This window comes from Homo sapiens, chromosome 8, assembly GCF_000001405.40.
Source record: "Homo sapiens chromosome 8, GRCh38.p14 Primary Assembly".
Taxonomy (NCBI): Eukaryota; Metazoa; Chordata; class Mammalia; order Primates; family Hominidae; genus Homo; species Homo sapiens.
In genome coordinates, this window is record NC_000008.11 from 125,531,075 (window position 1) to 125,553,431 (window position 22,357).

Below are 22,357 nucleotides of genomic sequence, written 5' to 3' on the forward strand. Positions count from 1 at the left end.
CAGAAGGCTAAGTGGTGCCAAGGACTCTCTCACCTGTCAAGTGGGTAAGGATGCCAGCTCTTTCAGGACACTGCACGAGAAAGCGCAAGGTGGAGTTCAAATGAAAGAGAAGATAGATGCTAACTCAGTGGCTAGCCCACGGCTTTCTCCTCACTTCAGGAAGATGCTCTGGTGGAGATGGGGTGGTGACCTCTGACGCCTACGGCTGCGGAGGGCTCCAAAGCCCACAGGTTCTGGAGATGACTCATGGGAAGTTTTCCCGAAGGTCAGAGCTGGTTGTCAGCCTCCCTCTCTCCCCATCTTCCCCATAGGCTTGGGAGTTTGCCAATTTGAGGCAACATTCTTCTTATCTCCCACTAGGCCCTATGCTCATGGATTTGTTAGGGGTGGGAGCTGTTTTTACTCACAACACTTCTGACACCAAATGTGTGGGTTTTCTTCTCTCACCAACTAACTCTCCAACTCTCTGGATACCCACTGGGCGTCCTACATTTCAATTCAATTTGGACACTAACGCCGCAGGCTTAGGGACTCAGTCCCACGAGACTGCCCTCGCTTCAGATGCCAGTCACAGCACCAGTTCCTCAGGTGATCACACTGCTGTCCAACTTCGCTACAAAGCCTGGAAGGTTCACACAACCAACTGCGCATTTCAGGTTTGATGATTTGTTAGAATGGCTCACAAAACTCCAGAAAACACTTCACGTAACCATTTTTGCTTTATTATAAAGGAAGCAAATGAACAGCCAGATGAAGAGGGGACCTAGGGCAAGGTCTGCAAGCGTCCTGAGCACAGGAGCTTCTGTCCCTGCGGAGCTGGGATGAGCTGCCATTTCAGCTCTCCCAATCCTGTTGTTTAGAGGTTTTTAATGGAGACTTCATTACATGAACACAATTGACTAAATCATTCACCTTTGGTGATGAACTCACTCTGTATTCCTTCTCTCCTCCCTGGAGGTTGAAGAGGCTAAAAATTTCAAGCTTCTAATCAAGGCTTAGTCTTTCTGGCAACTAGTTCCCATCTGGAAGCCATCTAGGGGCCCACCAAGAGTCGCTTCATTAGAACAAAAGGGACTCCCATTACCTTTATCACTCAGGAAATTCCAAGGGTTTTAGGAGCTCTGTGCTAGGAACTGGGGACAAAGACCAAATACCTCTCTATAGCACAGACAGTAAGAAGGGCCCTACTCTGTCAAACACAAGGTTTAGCAAAATGGAGTTGGGATGTTATCTGAATAGTGTTTCTTAGTAAAACCACTATCCATCAAGGTCATAATCTATGGGCATACTGAGTTCCTGCTCCCCTTCCCCATGTGTCAAACAGGGACGTATTAGTTATCTTTTGCTGCATAACAAATTAGCCCAATGCCTACTGTCCCAAAACAAATGAACAAATTCTTGTCTCACAGTTTCTGTGGGTCAGGAATCTGGGTGGAGCTTAGCTGGGTCCTCTGGTTCCAGGGCTCTCATGATAGCTGCAGCTAAGATGTTGGCTGGTTATTCGCTAGAGAAGGATTCACTTCCAAGCTCACTAATGTGGCTGTTGGAAAGATCCAATTCCTTTTGGATTATAATATGGAGGCGAGGACTTCAGTTCCAGGCTGGCTGTTGGGCGGAGGTCTCCTCCTTTCCTTGTGCAGTGGGCATCTTCATATCTATGGAGGGCAGCTCACAGTATGGCAGACTGCATGAGTTAAAGGCAAGTGAGGGAGTGTGAACAAGATGGAAAGCATAATCCTTCATGACTTTGATATGGTTTGGCTGTGTGTCCCCACCCAAATCTTACCTTGTAGCTCCCATAATTCCCATGTTTTGTGAGAGGGATCCAGTGGGAGATGCCTGAATCATGGGGGCAGGTCTTCCCCATGCTGTTCTTGTGATAGTGAATGGGTGTCATGAGATCTGATGGTTTTTAAAAACAGGAGTTTCCCTGCACAAGCTCTTTTTTTGCCTGCTGCCATCCACGTAAGATGTGACTTGCTCCTCCTTGTCTTCCACCATGATTGTGAGGCCTCCCCAGCCACATGGAACTGTGAGTACAATTAAATCTCTCTCTCTCTCTTTTCTTTTTGTAAATGTCACAGTCTTGGGTACGTCTCTATCAGCAGCATGAAAACAGACTAATACAGACTTGATTTCGGAAATGACATCTCATAACTTTTGCCCTGTTCTGTTTGTTAGAAACAAGTCACCAGGCCAACAGTCAACAGGAGGGAATTACACAAGGGCATGAATACCAGGATGCCAGGATCACTGGAGACCGCTTTAGAGACTGCCTCCCACAGGGCATAATAATAGCTACCTTAAAGGGTTGTTGTGGGGATAAAACATGACAATATATATGAAAACAGCAGCTTTGAATATTCCAAAGCACTAGGTAAACATCAGTTATTTTTGTATTATGAATCATCTATTACATACAATATTAATGATGCTGTTTAACTTTTTAGTAATAAATACAACTATTGGCAGAGAAGACAAATTATAGCCCATCAGAGCTACCTAGACTTCAGAAACCACCTACTACAACCCCCTCATTTTGCAAATGGTGAAATGGTGCACTCAGAATCATTCGGAGAGTGAGTGCCAGAATTGTAAACAGAAGGCAAGTGTTCCCATTACTTTTTTGTATCTGCAAAACCTAAAAATGTACGCTTTGTCCAGTACTCTTTCCACTTTATCATGTTGTCTTTAGGTAGGGTATTAAAAAGAAACAAAATAGACACACAATTTCTTATGAGGAAAGGGTCTTTAGGGTACTTCTTGACACTTTTCCTAGGTGATGATGTAAGTTTAAATAAATAGAGACCACCTGTTAAATCCGTGCATGCTGACGGGGCTGGGATTCATCAAGCTGGCAATGGTGGGATAGTATGTGGGTCTCAACCTTCACTGCACGTCAGAATCACCTGTGAAGCTTCAGAGGTTCTGAGTTCATTGGTTTAGGATACAGCTTGGGCACTGGGAGTTTTACAATTTCCTCAGGTGGCTCCAATGTGCAGCCAACAAGTAAGAGGACCAGTGGGATCATCTTTATTCAGCTGGAGGAATACTCACTGATCACAGCCATCAGTTCTTCTTTGGAGGCAGAATAAGAGCCACCGTTTGTTTTTGTAACCGATGTTTTATGGGGATGCAGGCATGCTCATTCAGTTACTAATGTCTGTGGCTGCTTTTGTGCCCCAATGGCAGAGCGGAACAATTGTGATTGGCACTGATGGTTCGCAAAACCTAGAAATGTATGATTTGTTTCTGTACAGAAAAAAAATGTGCTGACCCCTGAGTTAGGAGATGAAACAGTGGGAGCTGTGTGCATGGCTCAGAAGAGTCACTTGGTGTTGGATAAAAACTTGGGAACCATTTCTAGAGTGGTGAGAGTGTAAGCCAAGTCAAGCCCTGAACAGATTTGACATTCCAGTGGGGAGAGAGTGGGAGGCAGCAGCACAAGCACAGAGTTGTGGGAAAGATGGAAGCAAGGTCAGGAGAGGAACCAAGAGAAACAGCAACATTTCAGGTGAGGGTGGAAAAGGATCATCAAAAAGACAGAGTGAGAGAGCGTGGTCAGAGAGGTGGCAGATGACCCCGGAGAGAGTGACATCATGAAGCCAAGGGAAGTAAGGACTGTGGTTGTCGCAGGAGAGATGGTGCCCAGCAGGGCCTGGCATAGCAGAGGCCAAGGAGGGAAGGGCCTGAGGAGGGGCTGAAAAATTTGGCCACTGAGAGGTGATCATTGCACCTTAAAGATATACAATAAAAACCAAATACATTAATCAAAAGAGCGAGAGAGAATAAAGATGAAAGAGAAAAAGTAAAATAAAAAATATAGTGACTGTCTAAAATCTTTGCTATATAAGCAAAATAGCAATAGAAAATTTTCAGAAAGGAAAAAACTTATTTGCACAAAAGTGAAATAAAAAGAAGGTCATTGGATTTATCAGAAAAGAGCATGACCCTAATTTTCAAATAACTGGGCTGCTACTTTCATAAATCATTTTTGGGGGAAGGGGGTATTATTTATATTTTCTGATGCAATCCCCCAGATTGAAACCTTGTCATCTTCTTGTTTTTTTCCCTTTGTCTTATCTCTGCTGTCTTTCTCTGGGTCCATAGATACGCATGTGCACCTAATTATACATATCACATGTGTTGACTTAAAAAAGTGATTTCATATTTGCAGTTGTTTCTGAAGGAGACAGGTGTCTGCATGACTAATCTAATTCTGCAGAAATCACTTGCTACAGAGCAATTGACCCAATGCCAGTTGATTCAGGCACCATCTCTCATAGCTTCCTCACCTTCCCTCCTTTCCTCTCTTGATAGTTTTATAACCCTTGTTCTGAGGCTGCCTTGTGAGGTGACCTTGGGTGAATAACCTGTTTCTCCCTGGGCCTATTTGCTACCTGGAAGTTCAGGCAGCAGAGTGCAGACCCACAGGCCAGGGGACTAATGAGGAAGAAAAAGTGACTGGTGCTTGTGTGGCCCAGGGCAAGCCCATTAAGGATGGCAGCTCCATAAGCGGCACAGTCATGGAGAGTTCAGCCAGACTCTTGAGAATGATGGAAAAGGGTAGTATGACTGGGACTACCTTGGAAAACCTGGTAGGCATGGCTATCATTGTGTTAATGGAAAAGAGGAATGTGTTAAAGTAGGTCTGATTTCCCTGCATGTATAAGTGGCTATTCTATTTGAGCAAAGCTATTGGTTATTACTAATATTACCCCTTACTGAGTACTTATTGTGTAACATGCTCTGTACTGGAGCTTTACACATTTGATCTCATTTAATCCTCGTGACAACCCTGGGAGGCCAGAGACTGAGGTTAAATCAGTCGCTGGAGGTCACTGGCTAGGAAGTGGTGGAGTTGGGATTTGAAGCCAGTTCTGCCCGTGTTGTTTTGATCATGACTCCACAGTGTCTTGCATAAGGGCAGGGACATCCATATTCACCACTGTATCCATAACGCCTTGCACCGTGCTTGTATATCATAGGAACTCAATGAATAAGGTATTGATTAACTGCTATATTAACTATAAAACGATGCTGTAGAAAAAAGCAATCCTTCAAAATTTCAGTGGCATTACAATAGCATATGTTTATTTTTCCCACTTGTGGGTCTGCGGATTGGCTGTACTTCAGCTGATCTAGCTTTGCCTTGGCCAGGCAGGCTCGACTCAGGCCTCTAGTTGAATTTCTTTCTCTTTCTATGTCTTTATTCTGAGCTTAAGCTGAAGGAGCAGGGGCTGCCCGGGACATTATCATCTTATGGTAGATTAAAGAAGTGCAAGAGGTAAAGGTAAAGCAAAATCATGCAGAGACATTAAAGGCCCTGGTCCAATCAAATCGGCTATTATTTCATTTCCCAAAGCTCTTCGCACCACCAGGCCCATCATCAATAGGCCAGGGAGATACATTCCACCGACTGTAGTGGGAGGTATTGCAAGCCCCAGGGAAAGTGTTTGTAGAATTCTATAACAGGGAGCATAGAAAACCAAAGCCAACTCTTCACACTCACTCTCAGTTGGGATTAATTCATCTGTGAATAAAGGTAAAACTCCAGGAACAGTGACTTACACAATATGGGAATTTCTCTCTCATGTTAGTCTGGATATAGGTAGTTCAGGTCAGGCAGGGCATCTCTGATCTGTGAAATCCCTAGGTACCCAGGTTCTTTCTATCTTGTTGCTCTGCCTGGCATGCCTGGTCCCCTCATGGGGCAAAGTGGTGTTCCAGCCAGCACCTCCATGCATCACACAGCAGATGGAAGAAGGAGTAGGGACTCGAGTCAGCTGCCTCTTAGAGCAGCAGTCCCCAACATTTTTGGCACCAGGCACTGGTTTTGTGGAAGACAATTTTTCCATGGATTGGGGAAGGGGATGGTTTTGAATGATTCAAGCACATTATGTTTATTGTCCACTTTATTTCTATTATTGTTACTATATTAGTCTGTTTTCATGCTGCTAATAAAGACATACCTGAGACTGGGTAATTTATACAAGAAAGAGGTTTAATGGACTTAAAGTTCCACATGGCTGGGGAGGCCTCACAATCATGGCAGAAGGGATAGAGGAGCAAGTCATGTCTTAGATGGATGGCAGCGGGCAAAGTGAGAGCTTGTGCAGGGAAACTCCCCCTTATAAAACCATCAGATCTCATGAGACGTATTCACTATCACAAGAACAGCATGAGAAAGACCCGCCCCCATGACTCAATTACTTCCCACTGGATCCCTTCCATAACACCTGGGAATTGTGGGAGCTATAATTCAAGATGAGATTTGGGTGGGGATACAGCCAAATCATATCAGTTACATTGTAATACATATTGAAATAATTATACAGCTCACCAAACTGTAGAATCAGTGGGAGCCCCGAGCTTGTCTTCTTGCAACTAGATGGCCCTATCTGGGGGTGATGGGAGACCATGACAGATCATCAGGCATTAGATTCTCTCTCTCTCTCTCTCTTTTTTTTTTTTTTTTGGACAGAGTCTTGCTCTGTTGCCCAGGCTGGAGTACAGTAGCGTGATCTTGGCTCACTGCAACCTCTGCCTTCCGGGTTCAAATGATTCTCCTGCCTCAGCCTCCTGAGTAGCTGGGATTACAGGTGCATGCCACCATGCCCAGCTAATTTTTGTGTTTTTAGTAGAGATGAGGTTTCACTGTGTTGGCCAGGATGGTCTTGATCTCTTGACCTCATGACTCGCCCGCCTCGACCTCCCAAAGTGCTGGGATTACAGGCGTGAGCCACCGCGCCTGGCCTAGATTCTCACAAGGAGCATGCAATCTAGATCCCTCACATGTGCAGTTCACAATAGAGTTCGTGCTCCTACGAGAATCTAATGCCACCGATGATCTGACAGGAGGCGGAGCTCAGGCAATAATGTGAGTGATGGGGAGTGGCTATAAATACAGATGAAGCTTCTCTCCTTTTCTCTGCCACTCACCTCCTGCTGTGCAGCCTGGTTCCTAACAAGCCACAGATTGGTATTGGTCTGTGGCCTGGGGTTGGGGACCCCTGTCTTAGAGAAGGTTCTTGAAGGTTGCTATGTGCACCACTGCTAGTATCTTTCTGGCCAGAATTTAGTTTCAAGCCATACCCACCTATAAGGGAAGTCTGGGGAATGTAGTCTTTATTTCAAATGAGCATGTGACCAGCCATAATTTCCAGTTTTATTAAGGAAGGAGAGAATGGACATTGGGCTGTGTCAATCTCTGCCACCCCACTCTGTTGGTTATTAGACATGTGGATGCAGGAAAGGGTGAGATGTGGTGCCACAGGCATAAACTCTGAGGTCAAGCAGATCTGGCCCCAAACATGCCTCTTCATACAGCCACGTGGCCTTGTGCAAGCCACCTAATCTTATTAAGCCTCAGTTTCCTCAGTTGTAAAAAGAGGGAAAATGATCCAATTTCAATGAGTTATTATAAGAATTAAACAACTTAAGACATGGCATATCAGGGTTAATATGTTACTCCAGGAGATTACCATCTAGAGGGGAAGATGTATGTGTTAATAGGTAGTGATGAAAAAAAATATCCTCTTGTTATCCCCACTACTTGTTCTTAACATCCATGGAACTTCATTACTGATATATGACAGACTGATAACATCATTGGCCAAAAAACCATGATATCTTTCTTACCTCAGTTTTATCATCTGACAAATGGGTATAATAAGAATAGCTCCCTTATTGGGTGTTATGAGGATGATGTGACCTCCTGCATATAAAATATTCATAGTCTTACCTGCTGTATGGCAAATGCCTTCAGGTAATGCTACTTGTTATGACAATCTGGTTTTCTCATGCCCTGAGCAGGACCTGGCGTGTGCTAGGTGTTCAATAAGTGTTCTTCAGTTGAAGGACAATTAAATGAGAAAATGGTTCTAACTTAAACAAAAAGTTTATTCAAACAAGAAAAAAAGCCCTCAAAGCAAAAGCAACCCAAGACCAAGTAACCGTCTTGATGCACTATGTGGGTTTTAAGTTCTAGAGACCAAAGCCAAGCTGAAGGTTTCATTGATGACAGGCATCTCAGACCACAACAATCCAGCCTGGCCTCTGTATACCTTAGAGGTCTCTTAAAGTTCCTCTATACCCCTTTGCTTCTCTATAACCCAGGGGAGGGGAAATTATTATTCTCATTTTACAGGTAAGAAAACTGAGGCTCAGGGAATCAGGACTGGACCCAAGATCACAAAACTAACAAGTAGTCTGTATGGACGTGCTGACTCTCAGTCCTGTGCTCTCCCCATTAGACCAGAAAGACCATCTGGTTGGTCCTAATACTTTTACAGCCTGGAGGACCAGCAGGGTTAAGTGACTTCCCCAAGGCCACATAACAAATGGGCAGAGCAGGTGAACCCTCTGACTTGTCTCCAAAGGAAGTGTGGGCTGTTTGCTGTAAACAGTGCCTCCAGGGAATCACTTCTCAGCACCCAGCTCCTTGATGGCAGAGGCTTAGGCCTGAAAGCTTGCTTTGCTTGGAAACAGCCCAAGCCTGGCCAACAGAAGGACACGGGAACATCTTTTTTTTTTTTTTTAAATTATACTTTAAGTTCTAGGGTACATGTGCACAATGTGCAGGTTTGTTACATATGTATACATGTGCCATGTTGGTGTGCTGCACCCATTAACTCATCATTTACATTAGGTATATCTCCTAATGCTATCCCTACCCCCTTCCCCCAACCCCACGACAAGCCCCGGTGTGTGATGTTCCCCTTCCTGGGACACAGGAACATCTTTGATGACAGCTATGATTCTGTCAAGATGGCAGGAGATGCTTTGATCAGGATTGTGGTGTGGAAGTCTGTTTCCTCTGGAAAGAGTCATGAGAAAGAGAAAGACAGGAATCATGGGGTAGACAATGAAGCTTGAATTTGAATCCACATCTGTTTGACTCCATAAGACAAAGGTGTGGAATGGCATCCAGGCTGAGTCTGAAATGTGAAGTGAACATTTCCTCCTTGTCTATCTCTATTATCACCCCATCTGTCTCTTGGGACTCTGTGTCTGGTGGTACAGTTTGAATATTGCACAAAGGCACCTGGATACTATGAGCATCCCGATAATCCCAGCACCTTGGGAGGCTGAGGCAGGCAGATCACTTGAGCCTGGGAGCTCAAGACCAGCCTGGTTAACATGGCAAACACTGTCTCTATAAAAAATGTAAAAATTAGCCAGACATGGTGGCATGTGCCTGTAGTCCCAGCTACTCAGAGGGTGAGGTTTGAGGATACTTTGAGCCCAGGAGGTCAAGGCTGCAGTGAGCTGTGATTGTGCCACTGCACTCCAGTGAAGATTTTAGTACCGTGTATTGTGTATTGAAGCCAGGAGGATGTCTATTTATCCTTCTGTTTATTCATTAGCAAATACCTATCAGAATTCTTAGCATGCATAGGGCACTGTACTAGGGGATGGGCATAATGCAAGGACTAAAACAGACCTAGTTATTGGCCTCACTAGAGTCCACAACTTAGCGCTCTAGTCTTTCTCTAAGAAGTCGTGAATGTGTTCATCATCCATCCATCCATCCATTGTCCACACACTCATTTAATTGACTCACATATTCATGCATTATTTTTTTCACGTGCTCAATCATGTACCCATTTAATAATTTTGTTACTCTTTCCTCCTCTCATTTATTCATTCATTTAGTCACTTAGAAGTTTATTCTTTTACAAACTCATTTGTTTACTAACTCTGATTCATACTTTTCTATTTATTCACTCACTAAATTGATCCATTTAATCACATGCTAATTCATTTACGCTTTCTCTCACTCTTAAAAATCATTTAGTCATCAAACATTTACTAAGCCTATTCTGTATTCTAGGGGACCTAGATGCAGTCGTCTTCAAGTTCCATAGGAGGGCTGTGGCTGACCTTGTCTCGTCTGATAAACCACTGAAGAAGAATGCTGTGTATCTATCTAGTGGGGCCTTCTAGGGAACTACGGGGGGCAAGGGCAAGTTCATTGGCCTGTCATTACTGTTTCCTAATCTAGGGAGCCTCTCAGGTGAGGAAACACGTTTTCCCACAAGATGTCACCTGTGGCCACCTCCCAAGAAGTGGTCAGCTGGGAGAAGCTTTCAGCTTTCTGTATCTTTCTTCCCTTCCCCCTCAGAAAAGACTCCCCTGAAGCGATTGGTCTTCTCTGGCTCGGGCCAGGGGCTGAGGAGTGACGCTGGGTGGAGGCAACACCCAGGGAGATAGGAAGCCTGTTCTGTGGGGCTTATCTCAGGACTGTGAGGCAACTGAAGACAGAAGCCATGAGAGGAGAAGTTTGGTAATCTCATCTGCAATTGTTGTTTTTGTACTTATCTAAGGATGGGGGTGGGGATGGAAGGGTGGGAATGGGTTTGAGTTGCAGCCAAAGGAATTTAGATTAGACACCTGAAAGAACTTTCCAACATACAACGCTGTAAGGCCAAAAGGAGATAGTACAGTTGCCTTTTATCTGGATCCATAGTATAATACTTAAGTTTAGGTGTTCAATAAGTACTGAACACACAAGACTGGGAGTCTGGAGAGTTGGGCCAAAAGCTCTTATTTGTCCTTCATTCCCACTGGGGACATTTCTCCTCTTTATTTCACTCTCTGAGCCTCTGTGTCCTTGTCAGCCTTGTAGGGCTGCGATGAGAATTAAATGAGACAATATGTGAATGTGACCAGTCCAGTCAATGCCTAGCACATAGTACATGCTTAAGAAATACCTATGTCATCTGGATTCTGGAAATCCTGTACACCATGGTAGTCCAATAAAAATATACCCAATGAATCATTAACATGATTTAATTTATAAGGGGCACAAAAGGTTCATTAATGTTAGTTAACAGTAGGTTTTGGAGTCAGATAGACCTGGGCCTTATTTACAGCTGCATTTGGGGTTGGGAGTGGAATAGAGAGGAAGAAGAGGAAATGGATGGGAAGAGTTGATGAAAAGTCAGGAGAACCCAGCCCACTGATAGGAGAGGTTTGGGAGAAAGAAATAGCTACAGAAGGGTATGTGTTCAAATTTTGCTCTTTGCAAAGAACATGCTGGTTACTAAGAGAGATCAGAGCAGGTACAAGGAGTTCAGTGTGGAGACTCTGGCAGTGGTCCAGGTGTGATGTCTAAAGCAAGGGACTGTGGTCAAGGGTGAGCTCAAGGTGAGTGGGTCTTAGCTGCCTTAGCTCCTTGTGGAGGGCAAGTGAAGAAGGTATTGGCAAGAACATTAGAAATTGTTCTAGGTGCTCTCCTACAATGTTATGACCAGGATGCACTCTGCACTCCTTTTGATGAGGAGTTTGGTATCACATCCAAGGCCTTACCTGTCTCCGTTCTCTTTGATCTAGTAATTTCACTGGAAGCCAGTTCAAGGAGATTATCTAAACTGTGGAGAAAGGTTTTTTGTCAGTCAAGGGCTCTTTATTAAGCACTTACTATGTGCCAGGCTCTGAGGGTACATCGGGGAGTGTTAGAGAAACACAAGTGGGAGAGATTTTGAAGGGCTGCTGAGATCATTCATGTAGTCAGGCAATCAAAAAATATTTACTGAGCACCTGTTATGTGTCTGCCATCATTCAAGGCTCTGGGTTTTCAACAAGGACCAAGACAGATGAGGATTTCAGAACCGTGGACAAGTGAGGGTTAGCAGGTCAGCAAAGTCAGAATGTTTATGCCAATGCAGCAGGCTTCTCTGATCCCCCAAATTACGCTCGGTCCTTCTCATATATGCTCTTTCCCACCCCCATATTCACACAGATGAGGACCTCAACTTCTTTTCTCGATTTCCATTAAAAGCCTTTACTCAAGGTTATTGTATGCGTAGCAAATTTTATGAAAGGTTTATGGATATGGAGGGAGTTACATGATGAGAATGCAAATACATTGATTTTGAGTTGGTTAAATGTCATTGTTTTCAAGATTCTCCAACTGCCCAACAAGTAGCTTGGCTGCCATCTTCCCCTGACTTTCTGCATCTCTGCTTCCTTCCCAAACCGTCTTCCTCAGTGGCAGTGGGGTTCCAGTCATTTGCAGTTGTAAATAGTATTTCCCCCTTGGTCACACTTTAATCACTTGTCCGAAGTCTATTATTTCAGCTACATTGTAAGCTCCTTGAAGCACCTAGATCAGGGCCTCGCTCATAATAGGCATTTCAAAAATAGTTATTCAGTGAATAAATGAACAGATGAATGAGACATCCTTCAGATCCCTATAAGAAAATTGTACTACCTGCATCTTTGCAAGAAAAAAAGTGAGTTAATTTTTTTCAGTATGATGACACATTGGATTCTGAATTACAGAATTAAATCTAAATATCTGAATTTGATATTTGCCCTTTTGTCTCCTCTACATGGCACAGCAAAATGGGAGACAACACGGGCTTTCAAATCAGATGTTGATTTGGCTGTTGGCCCTTGTGCTGTGTATCCTTGGGCAAGGATTTATTTCTCGTAAGCCTCAGTTCCCTTATCTGTATAATGGGCACATTACCAGCACAAATGGTGTCGTGGTTAAGCGTAGACTCTAGTACTCAACTTCTGAATTCAAATCCCAGTTTTCCACTGACTGTGTTAATCTTGTGCAAGTAGCTTATCGTCGTCATCTTCATCTGCAAAACAGGAATATTATTTACTTTATAGGGCCACTGGGAAGATTAAATGAGTTAATATATACAAGGTACTTAAACAGTGTCTGGCAAAAAGTAAGCATGACATAAGGTTAGCTCATGTTATTATCTACCTCAGACAGCAGATGGAATAAGATAACATATATAGGGTGTGTACTTAGCACAGTCCCTGGGATGTTTTAGCTGTTCAATACCTGTTAGCTGTCACTATTATGCCATATATTATCAAGTTAAATGCACATTCATTTTCTATCGTCTCTGAAAATGGGATACATCTAATAGTCACTTTTGGGAAGGAGGCATTCTTGATGTAGTTTTCATTGTCTGTACAATTAATCTGGCAGAATGATGTCAGTAGCTTGGAAGAAAACCCCAAGACAAGAGCAAGAGCAAAACACTCTGTGAAGAAGTACTGCATCCTTCCTGTGATCATCCCTGGGTCCAGATGGCTCAGAGGGTGGCATTGTGGGGAAAACGTTGCACATAGACAGCTCTGAGTCAAAAAGTGACTCAGAGGAGCTGGATTCTGAATGTGACTAAGTTTTAGGAATACCTTAAACAACTTACCTCATTTCTATTTTCCTTTTCATGCATGCATGAAGCTGATATAGAGTAAAAACCCGTTCTAAATAAAACTAAAAAAGCTTTCAGTAAGTGCGAAATACACATTCTGTGTAATCAAAATCCATGTGTCATAATTGGGTAGGTAACATGTTTTTCTTTCTTAGAGGTATGTAAAATAATGCTGCATCTTACAATCACCAGCATCTTAGACGGATGAATTATGGTGCTGTGCATATCCATCTGTCATCAGGCGTTGTCTGAGCAGCCAGCCCACTGTGGCAAGTGCCGTGGGAGGAGAGTCAGAGGTGGGAGGAGGAGAAAGAGAGGCTGAAGTCCCTGCCTGGAGCTGGCTGCAGGGCCATCCTGCAGAGTGGGTCATTGACTGGGCAGCCCAGGCCTCCCATGGTCCCTCCTCAGCATTCTGCTTCCAAACTGACCTGCTCTGGGCTTTCCTGGGTGTCCTGGTTTTGGCTCACCCTCACCTTTCAGGTGAGTCAGTTTGCTTCACCTGAGCAAGTTGCAACTGCCTGGGCGGAGCCTCACCTGTGACTGTACAAGGGACGGGTCTGGATCGGGCAGCCAAGTAGGTCTGATAAGGAGGATGGGGCAATTTCTTGCCAGCACCACCTTGTAGGGAGTTTGGGCTTCTTCCCCAGGGCTCACGGAATGGGCAAGAGAAAGAAGGGTGGGGACTTGAATCCAGTGAAAGTACCAGGCCTCCCTGAATACCACTGACACCCCAAAGCAGGCACATCCTCCTGTTTCCCTGTGCCAAGGGCTTATAAGAAATCAGGTAGTGATCCTTGCCCCCACCTCCCAAGCATGGAATTCTCTAGGCTTGCCCCTTGGGTTTCTAGAGGATTCTGTGGGAAAACAAGGTTTCATTTGTTAAGAAGAGTAAGTGACGATCACTTAGTTTGGTGACCTTGGGTACAGGTGGTGACATGTGGATGTTAGGGCAGGAAGGGCCCAGGATGAGGTCACAGGTTGAAGGAGGTGGCTGATGGTAGCCAAGGCCCATATTACAAGTTGGGGAGAATGATTAGCCCCCACTTATTTCCGAAAATCACTGCCAGGATGATTTTCAGAGTTTCTTTGCCAAAGTCCAAGTTCTCTGGCCATTTATTTCAATTCAAAATAAATGAAATTTTGAATTCACTATGTGCTATGAATTCACCTCCCAGGAAAGAGATAATTGACTTGGTTTGGCCATTACTAGTTTAAAAACAATCAAAAAGAAAAAAGAAAATGAAACAAAGAATGAACATCCTCAAAGACAGTTACTTTCTGTATTACAACTGTAGGATATTGCTATGTTGCCATCATTTATTGGTTTGTTGACTGGTTTTTTGATTGACTGCTCTATTGAGCAAATATTTATTGAATGCTTGTGATGAGTCAGGGGCCGTGCTGAGAACGAGGGGCATATAGTGATGAAACAGAGAATCTCTGGCTTTAAGAACTTCCAAACCAGTAAATGAGCAAATACTTATGATATGAAGCATTGCTTGAGTCACTTGGTTTTCACAACCTCCCTTTGAAGGAGCCACTGGTATCTATTTCACAGATAAGGAGATTAAGACTCCAAGAGGTGAAGAGACAAGAGTGGATAAAGGGCTGGGCGAGTTCAGAGTGGAGAGAAATCATTTCCACTTAAGAGTACTCTGTATAAGCTCTGGAGGGGTGGCCTTTGAGATTGAGATGAAGGCAGAGCTGGCCATAGCAGGTGGAGAGCAGGGGCAGGCAGCACCGGGCTGTGGGGCACAGCCAGACCACGATGAGGGGAGGTTTCACGGATCATAGAGCAGCCAGTGAGCCATCAGCTAAGCCTCCATTCCTGGACCTTTCAGTGGGGGAAGTGCAGTTCCATGAAAACAGGTCAATATCCCAGCCAGACAAGGAGTAGTCCCTGCAAAGCTGCATCGCCTGGAGTTGCACAACTCTGATGGCATGAACAGTTGTGTTTGGAGGGAGAGCTCAGCACTGGGAACAGCACAGGCAAGGTTTTTCTGCCTCATGAGTATCTTCTCTGAGCAAATCAGCTCAGCTGCAGGGCCCCCAGTCTATGGAAATCTAGGTGGCTGCTAGAGAAAGCCAGCTGTAGGCAGGGGGTTTAGCAGAGACTGTGGCTTCTATTGCTCATTCATGCATTCCACAAATATTTACTGTGCACTTACTGTCTGCCAGATGCTGTGCTAAGAGATAATTAAGACAGGATCTCTGCAATCACAAACTTAGTCTAGTGAAGGAAGGGACAAGAGAACAGCTGATGACCGTAATAATAAAAATCAGACACTTGCTATGTGTCAGGCATTGCTTTAAGTGCCTTTCATCATCACAATAAAGTTTGGTTGTATTATTATTTTATAGAGGGAGAGACAGGGACACAGAGAGGTTAAGCAACTTGCTCTAGGTCACAGAGCTAGTAAGAGACAGAGCCAAGACTTAAACCCAGGCAAACTGGCTGCACAGCCCAAGCCTTTAACCACTGTGCTATACCACCTTGTCATCCAACCAAATCAATTATAATTCAGTGCAGTTCTACTGGAGGAAACACAGGATGCTACAAGAGCAAAAAGAGTGGGTTCCCAATCCAGGTGTTGAGGAATGGGTGCAAGGAGGACTTCCTCGAAGAAATGAGACTATGCTGAAGCCTGAAAGGTGAGAAGTGGCACCCCCAGGCCGAGGAGAGTTTGGGAGGAGAGTTCTGGGCAATGGAATGGAATCAGAAGGAGCTGATGGTAAGAGAGAGCACAGATGGTTTCAGGAACTGTGAGGAACTCATGTTGGCTGGAAGGGGTGTGTGGCAGTCCAGAGTGGAGGAGGAGACAGGCAGGTGTCATGGTTTGGGAGGTGGCACCCTCTAGCCACTCTGTGAAGATACAGCCTGGTAATACCTCAGGTTCCCAAGAACTCCAGGGCCTGTAAACATGCCAGTCACACGTGGGCCTGCTTAGAAGGCCGATGGCCTTTGAGTAAATAAACAACACCTTGCATAAATCTCTGCACTTTGAGTGGCAAAGAGGCCATTCCCTGAGGGTGACTTGGAAAACCAGAGGTGCAGTGACTCAGCCTTTCTGAACCTTTTTGTCATCTACAAAATGGGATTTTGTAATAACCCTTTATGCACAGCAAAGGTGGAGCCTGATAGGATGTTTGTCGGGGACCCAGATTCCTTCATCTTGTTATTGGCAGATTTCTGTATGAGGGGACCTTGACTAAGCAAGTAAGGAGGTTTAGAGCAACAGCTTTCAAATGGGGGTTGGAAAAAAATCTCAGAATGTGCGGAATATGTTTATAAAAACAACATGATAATTTCCATTATGCCACCATCCTCTCCCAGAAACAGTGTCCAATTGTTATCAGGGTAGCATGCCTTAGAACTTAGAGTTTGGATTGGAATATCATCCATGACAATCTATCAACAGGTGTAGGTCATTCTTATAGGTGAGACTGGATCCATAAAACACCACCTGTCTCTCATCTTGCATGGTCAACTTCTTCAAATGCCACTGGTGCCTTCCTTCAAGGTCTATCCGTTTGATGATCAGGTCATTCTTAACAGCCATCACGGGCAAGTGCACTGCACAGTATGTTTTTAGATGCTACAGAATAGGAACAAACATTCCTGCTAGCTCTAGCAACTGGCAGGATTGAAGCAAAATGCAGTGGCTCAAGATATCGGCAACACTTTTGTGAAGACCATGTGGAATAATCCCATATTGGTTACATTGATGTGGTTGTAAGGGAACTAAATTTTGCATAATCCTTATGAAGTTATGGGGCCATATTACACCATAGGTTCATCTATACTCTTTTTTTTTTTTTTTTTTGAGATGGAGTCTTGCTCTGTGGAGACTGGAGTGCAGTGGCACAATCTTGGCTCACTGCAACCTCCGTCTCCTGGGTTCAAGCAATTCTCCTGCCTCAGCCTTCCAAGTAGCTGGGATTATAGGCACCTGCCACCACAACTGGCTAATTTTTGTATTTTTAGTAGAGACGAAGTTTCACCATGTTGGCCAGCCTGGTCTCAAACTCCTGACCTCAAGTGATCTGCTCGCCTTGGCCTCCCAAAGTGCTGGGATTAGAGGTCTGGGTCACCGTGCCCAGCCAATATTCTTGAAAATATTTGCTTGTTGTTTCACTTACTGGTGTGTTTCATATTATGTACATATCTATGTATATACACATACAAAAATCTCAGAATTTGTATATTTTTGTGCTCATGCTCTTAAAATATGATTGAATTTCAGTAACTAAGAATCCAATCCTTAGTAATTAACATTATTTGTTATATTGTTTTCTGAAAGAAAAAGAAAAGCTATCTAAGCCCCTAAGATTTGTTTTTTTTCCATGATTTTTAGGTATTCATTTGCAAGTATGATTTCTTAACTATGAAACCTTCAGTGATTATTTTTTGGCATGAGTCTTCTACTCTGTCCTAAATAGTTTTGAAATGTTTATCATTTTACTGAGATGATAAATAATGAAGAAAAATAAAGGTAGTGAATATAGATAATTCTTTCTGAAGCTCATTTGAAAGAATTCCTGAAATTCTTAATATGTGACACATTTTAAACACAGGATAAATTCAAATTTGGAAATTAGACTCAGTGCTCTGCTCAACAGATAGACACTTGGTCTTTTAAACATTATTTCATACCATTTTCTATTTTCACTGATCTTTGTAAGGGAGTGTATTAGTTCATTCTCACACTGCTACAAAGAACTGCCAAGACTGGGTAATTTATAAAGGGAAGCGTTCTTCATGGCTCATGGTTCTGCATGGCTGGGGAGGCCTCAGGAAATTTACAATCATGGCAGAAGGGGAAGAGGCACCGTCTTAGATGGCGACAGGCAAGAGAGAGCAAGTGTGTGAAGGAACTGTCAGACACTTATAAAACCATCAAATCTTGTGAGAACTCACTCACTATTATGAGAACAGCATGGGGGAAACTGCCCCACCATGATATAGTCACCTCCCACCAGGTCTCTCCTTGGACATGTGGGGATTATGGGGATTACAATTCAAGATGAGATTTGCATGGGGACACAAAGCCTAACCGTATCAGGGAGTTAAACCCAAGTGGACACATCATCGATAGCTCAAAGACATTTTCAACAAGCAACACAGCTTCTTGTGTGCTGATCTTCACTCTGCATAGAAATGTTTTAAAACACCATCAGCCCTTTCTTCAATGCATGGATTGATAATATTGAGAGCTCTTGGAAATGCTTTTATTTCCTCACTCACAAACCAAAGCTTATTACTACTGACTCCTAAACCCAGGTGTAACCATATATGTGTGAAATGGTTAGCTCTGTTTTCATCAGCTTCACTGTGAATCTGGTAAGCTTTCTACTCTGGGTAGCAACATTATGATAGACCTGGCCAATAATTTGATTCAAATCAATTCCATGCTGCAACCCTGTGCCAACTGGTCCTGGTTTTTCCTTCAACCTTGATGAGAGACCTTTCAGCCTTTCTTTGTTTATGCCTTGCTTTGAGGTCTTCTTGGATCTCTTTTGCGCAAGTCGACAAGTGTTCTTTCATTGTCGGTTGGCTCATCACATATTATTGACTAAGCTGAGGAAACACTGATCTCATTCTTTACGCCTTGAAACATTTCATTCTTCATTGTTCATTTAAAGATTTCATTTTTTTTTTTTTTTTTTTTTTTTTTTTTTTTAGACAGAGTCTCACTCTGTTGCCCAGGCTGGAGTGCAATGGAGCGATCCCGGCTCACTGCAACCTCCACCTCCTGGGTTCAAGTGATTCTCCTGCCTCAGCCTCCTGAGTAGCTGGGATTACAGGCGCCCATCACCACGCCCAGCTAATTTTTGTATTTTCAGTAAAGACGGGGTTTCGCCGTGTTGGCCAGGCAGGTCTCAAACTCTTGACCTCAGGTGAGCCACCTGCCTCGGCCTCCCAAAGCGCTGGGATTATAGGCATGAGCCACCGCGCCCAGCCAGATTTCACTTTTAAAATATGTGTTCTTTTATAGTGATCAATTAGTAAACTCCTCAGTCTGGGTAGGTTCTGTGAGGGCCCATACTTTTGTCTGTTTACTTTTACACAGCTATACAGTCCCTGGCACACAGTAGGTTCTCATTAACTATTTGTGGAATGAACAAATGAAGTTTTTCTCTTCTTTCGTTGTCCACTCTAATTTTAAACATACTTCTAAATATTGTTTTGGTTTCCAGAAAACAGATTCATGTATTAAACCAAGGGCTCACAACAGTTTTCTGTAAAGTACCAGGTAGTAAATATTTTAGCTTTTGTGGGCCACAAAGTCTCTGTCATAAGTACACCTCTACCATTGAAAGTAATGCAAAAGCAGTCAGAGACAATATATAAATGAGCAAGCATGGTTGTGTGACAATAAAACTTTATTTACAAAAACAAGTAGTTGGCCAATGTGGCCTGTGGGTCAAAATTTGTCTCTTGTTTTATTTTAATTTTTTATTATTTTCTGAGACAGGATCTTGTTCTGTTGCCCAGGCTGGAGTGCACAGGTACAATCATGGCTCACTGATGCCTCACCTCCTGGGTTCAAGTGATCCTCCCACCTTGTCCTCCTGAGTAAGTGGCAGCACAGGTGTGTGCCACTGACTAGTTTATTTTTTAAAAAATAATTTTGTAGAGTCTAGGTCTTGCTATATTGCCCAGGCTAGTCCTGAACTCCTGGGCTCAAGCAATCCTTCTGCCTTGGCCTCCCAAAGTGCTGGGATTACAGGTAAGAGCCACTGTGCCCAGCCTGGCCCCTGTTTTAAACTACTCTTTTTTTAAAAAAAATCTTTTCTATTTCCTTCATTTTATTTGGCTGTGTAGGTGATACTTCCCCCTGGTAGTTTACTATAAATCACTTCTAAATCTGTAATTGCAATATTATTTCTCTCATATTTTCTGAAAAATTTCAGGTTTTTTTCCTAATAGAATTAGAAAGTCCTCTTTCCCACGGCTCAGTTTTCCTGGCAGCACAATGAATCTGAAAACAGAATGCTATTGAACTCCAGCCTTCAAAAGTCTGTTATCCAGAATCTTTACACTTTGTAAATTGGCCCTGAACTTTCTGTACTTTGAAGGCGTATTTTGGTTGATACAGTGTAGCTATTTCTTATGTTCTGAATTTCAAATCATGTTCAGGGTCTTAAGCTGAGATAGCCTTGTATCCTGTCTCCATATTGATCCCAGATGTCCCCTCATGTATTGTCTGTGGTGATGAAGTTTCCTGTCATTTAATACCAACATTATCTGTCCTACCATTTGGCTTGATGTGTGAGCTCTCAGCACGTTTTGTGAAGAATGATTACACAGGCTTTTAAATAATTACAGTTATCATGAAAGAAACCAGAGTTTAACACACTTAAGACATCAAAAGTCTATAAAGAGTAAGTTTTTTAATTTTTAAAAATTTTAGTGAAAGAGGCAAAGTGCTGATAGGAATTAAAAAAAAAAAAGTTTGGCCAGGCACGGTCGCTCACGCCTGTAATCCCAGCATTTTGGGAGGCCGGGTGGATCATGAGGTCAGGAGTTCGAGACCAGCCTGGCCAACATGGTAAAACCTCGTCTCTACTAAAAATGCAAAAATTAGCCGGGTGTGGTGGCAGGCACCTGCAATCCCAGCTATTTGGGAGGCTGAGGCAGGAGAATTGCTTGAACCTGGGAGGTGGAGGTTGCAGTGAGCCGAGATTGGGTCACTCACTGCACTCCAGACTGGGCGACAGAGCAAGACTCCGTCTAGAGATAAAAAAAAAAGCAAAGAAAAAAAAACAAAAAAAAACACAACCAAACATACGGTGGAACAATTAGTGGGCAGCACCCAGGCCTGTTGAAATGTCATCATCAGTTGACTTATGTCAACGTGCTCATAGTTTTTATTTGTTACAGTGATGAAAAAGTAGATTAACAACATCATGGATCAAATAAAACAGTGATGTACACTTCTCAATTTGGAACTGATTTCATATAACAAGATGGTTACATTTGTTATTTACTATGTGTCAGGAACTGGACTAGACTCCGGCCTGGATTATCACATTTAATCCTCACTCTAGCCCTACCAGATAGGCACTTTGATTGTTCCCAGTCATCTGTACTTTAGAGACCTTCTGTATCTTGCCCAAGGTCACAGAGTTAGCACATGTGGAGCTGGTGTGTATGTTTTGGATGGGTTCACCTTTTCCTTCCTTTGAAAAATGGTTGAGGGAGAGAGTTGAGCAGGGAACGGGGAATTTGCAACTCTAAATGGACTCTCTACTGCATTCTGTTAGGCCCTCAATCTGCTCCTTCTTTTGCAAAGATTAAAAAAGTGAGAAGAAAAAGTTCCAGATTGGTTATGGGGGTAAAGAAGAAGTGGGGGCAGAAGTGGAGTTATAAGGCCACCACCAGTGAGTTACAACCATGACAGGCCAGCCAGCCTGATGGGAAGGGAAGACAAAGGGAGAAGAAGACATTGGAGGCCGGGCATGGTGGCTCACACCTGTAATTCCAGCACTTTGGGAGGCCGAGGCGGATGGATCACTGGAGGTCAGGAGTTCGAGACCAGCCTTGCCAAAATGATAGAACCTCGTCTCTACTAAAAATACAAAAAATTCGCCGGGCATGGTGGCGTGCACCTGTAATCCCAGCTACTTAGGAGGCTGAGTCAGGAGAATTGCTTGAACCCGGGAGGTGGAGGTTGCAGTGAGATGAGATCGCACAGCTGCACTTCAGGGTTCGGGCAAGCTGAGAGATTTTATTTTAGTTTTTATTTTTATGTATTTGGGAGGTACAAGTGCAGGTTTCTTACATGCATGTATTGAGTAATGGTGAAGTCTGGGCTTTTACTGTACCCATCACCTGAAAAGTGAACATTGTACCCAATAGACATTTTTTCAATCCTTGCCCCCCTTCTACCCTCCTACCTTTTGGAGTCTCCAATGTCTATTATTCTACTCTAAGTCCACGTGTGTACCCATTGCTTAGCTCCCACTTATAAGTGAGAACAATGTGGTATTTGACTTTCTGTTTCTGAGTTATTTCATGTAGGATAATGGTCTCCAGTTCCATCCAAGCTGACCTTGTTCTTTTTTGTGGCTGAATAGTATTCCATGGTGTATATACACCACATTTTCTTTATCCAGTTCTCCACTGATGCACACTTAGGGTGATTCCATATCTTTGCTATTGCGAA

The 22,357-nt window shown here is 43.5% G+C and overlaps 2 long non-coding RNA genes across 2 annotated transcripts in view, besides 4 other annotated features; both read left to right on the forward strand.

The window, feature by feature from the left end:
- Positions 1-12,311, forward strand: part of TRIB1AL (TRIB1 associated lncRNA) — a 76,581-nt gene extending 64,270 nt beyond the window's left edge. The window contains exons 3-4 of the long non-coding RNA NR_186610.1: positions 9,836-10,018; positions 10,127-12,311. This is a non-coding gene — a long non-coding RNA (TRIB1 associated lncRNA). The remainder of the gene's footprint in view (positions 1-9,835; positions 10,019-10,126) is intronic.
- LINC02964 (long intergenic non-protein coding RNA 2964) overlaps positions 1-22,357 on the forward strand; it is a 160,228-nt gene that overhangs the window by 11,168 nt on the left and 126,703 nt on the right. The window lies entirely within an intron of this gene.
- Positions 1,537-1,723: a silencer, noted in NCBI's record as "fragment chr8:126544853-126545039 (GRCh37/hg19 assembly coordinates)". NCBI's record gives its function as "represses an EF-1alpha promoter that drives an FKBP-Casp9 reporter gene in an ReSE screen in HepG2 liver carcinoma cells and K562 erythroleukemia cells {active_cell/tissue: HepG2 | K562}" and the evidence as "EXISTENCE:reporter gene assay evidence [ECO:0000049][PMID:32094911]".
- Positions 14,789-14,978: an enhancer, noted in NCBI's record as "active region_27919". NCBI's record gives its function as "activates an Ori minimal core promoter by ATAC-STARR-seq in GM12878 lymphoblastoid cells {active_cell/tissue: GM12878}" and the evidence as "EXISTENCE:reporter gene assay evidence [ECO:0000049][PMID:35858748]".
- Positions 14,789-15,320: a biological region, named in NCBI's record as "ReSE screen-validated silencer GRCh37_chr8:126558198-126558636".
- Positions 14,882-15,320: a silencer, noted in NCBI's record as "fragment chr8:126558198-126558636 (GRCh37/hg19 assembly coordinates)". NCBI's record gives its function as "represses an EF-1alpha promoter that drives an FKBP-Casp9 reporter gene in an ReSE screen in HepG2 liver carcinoma cells {active_cell/tissue: HepG2}" and the evidence as "EXISTENCE:reporter gene assay evidence [ECO:0000049][PMID:32094911]".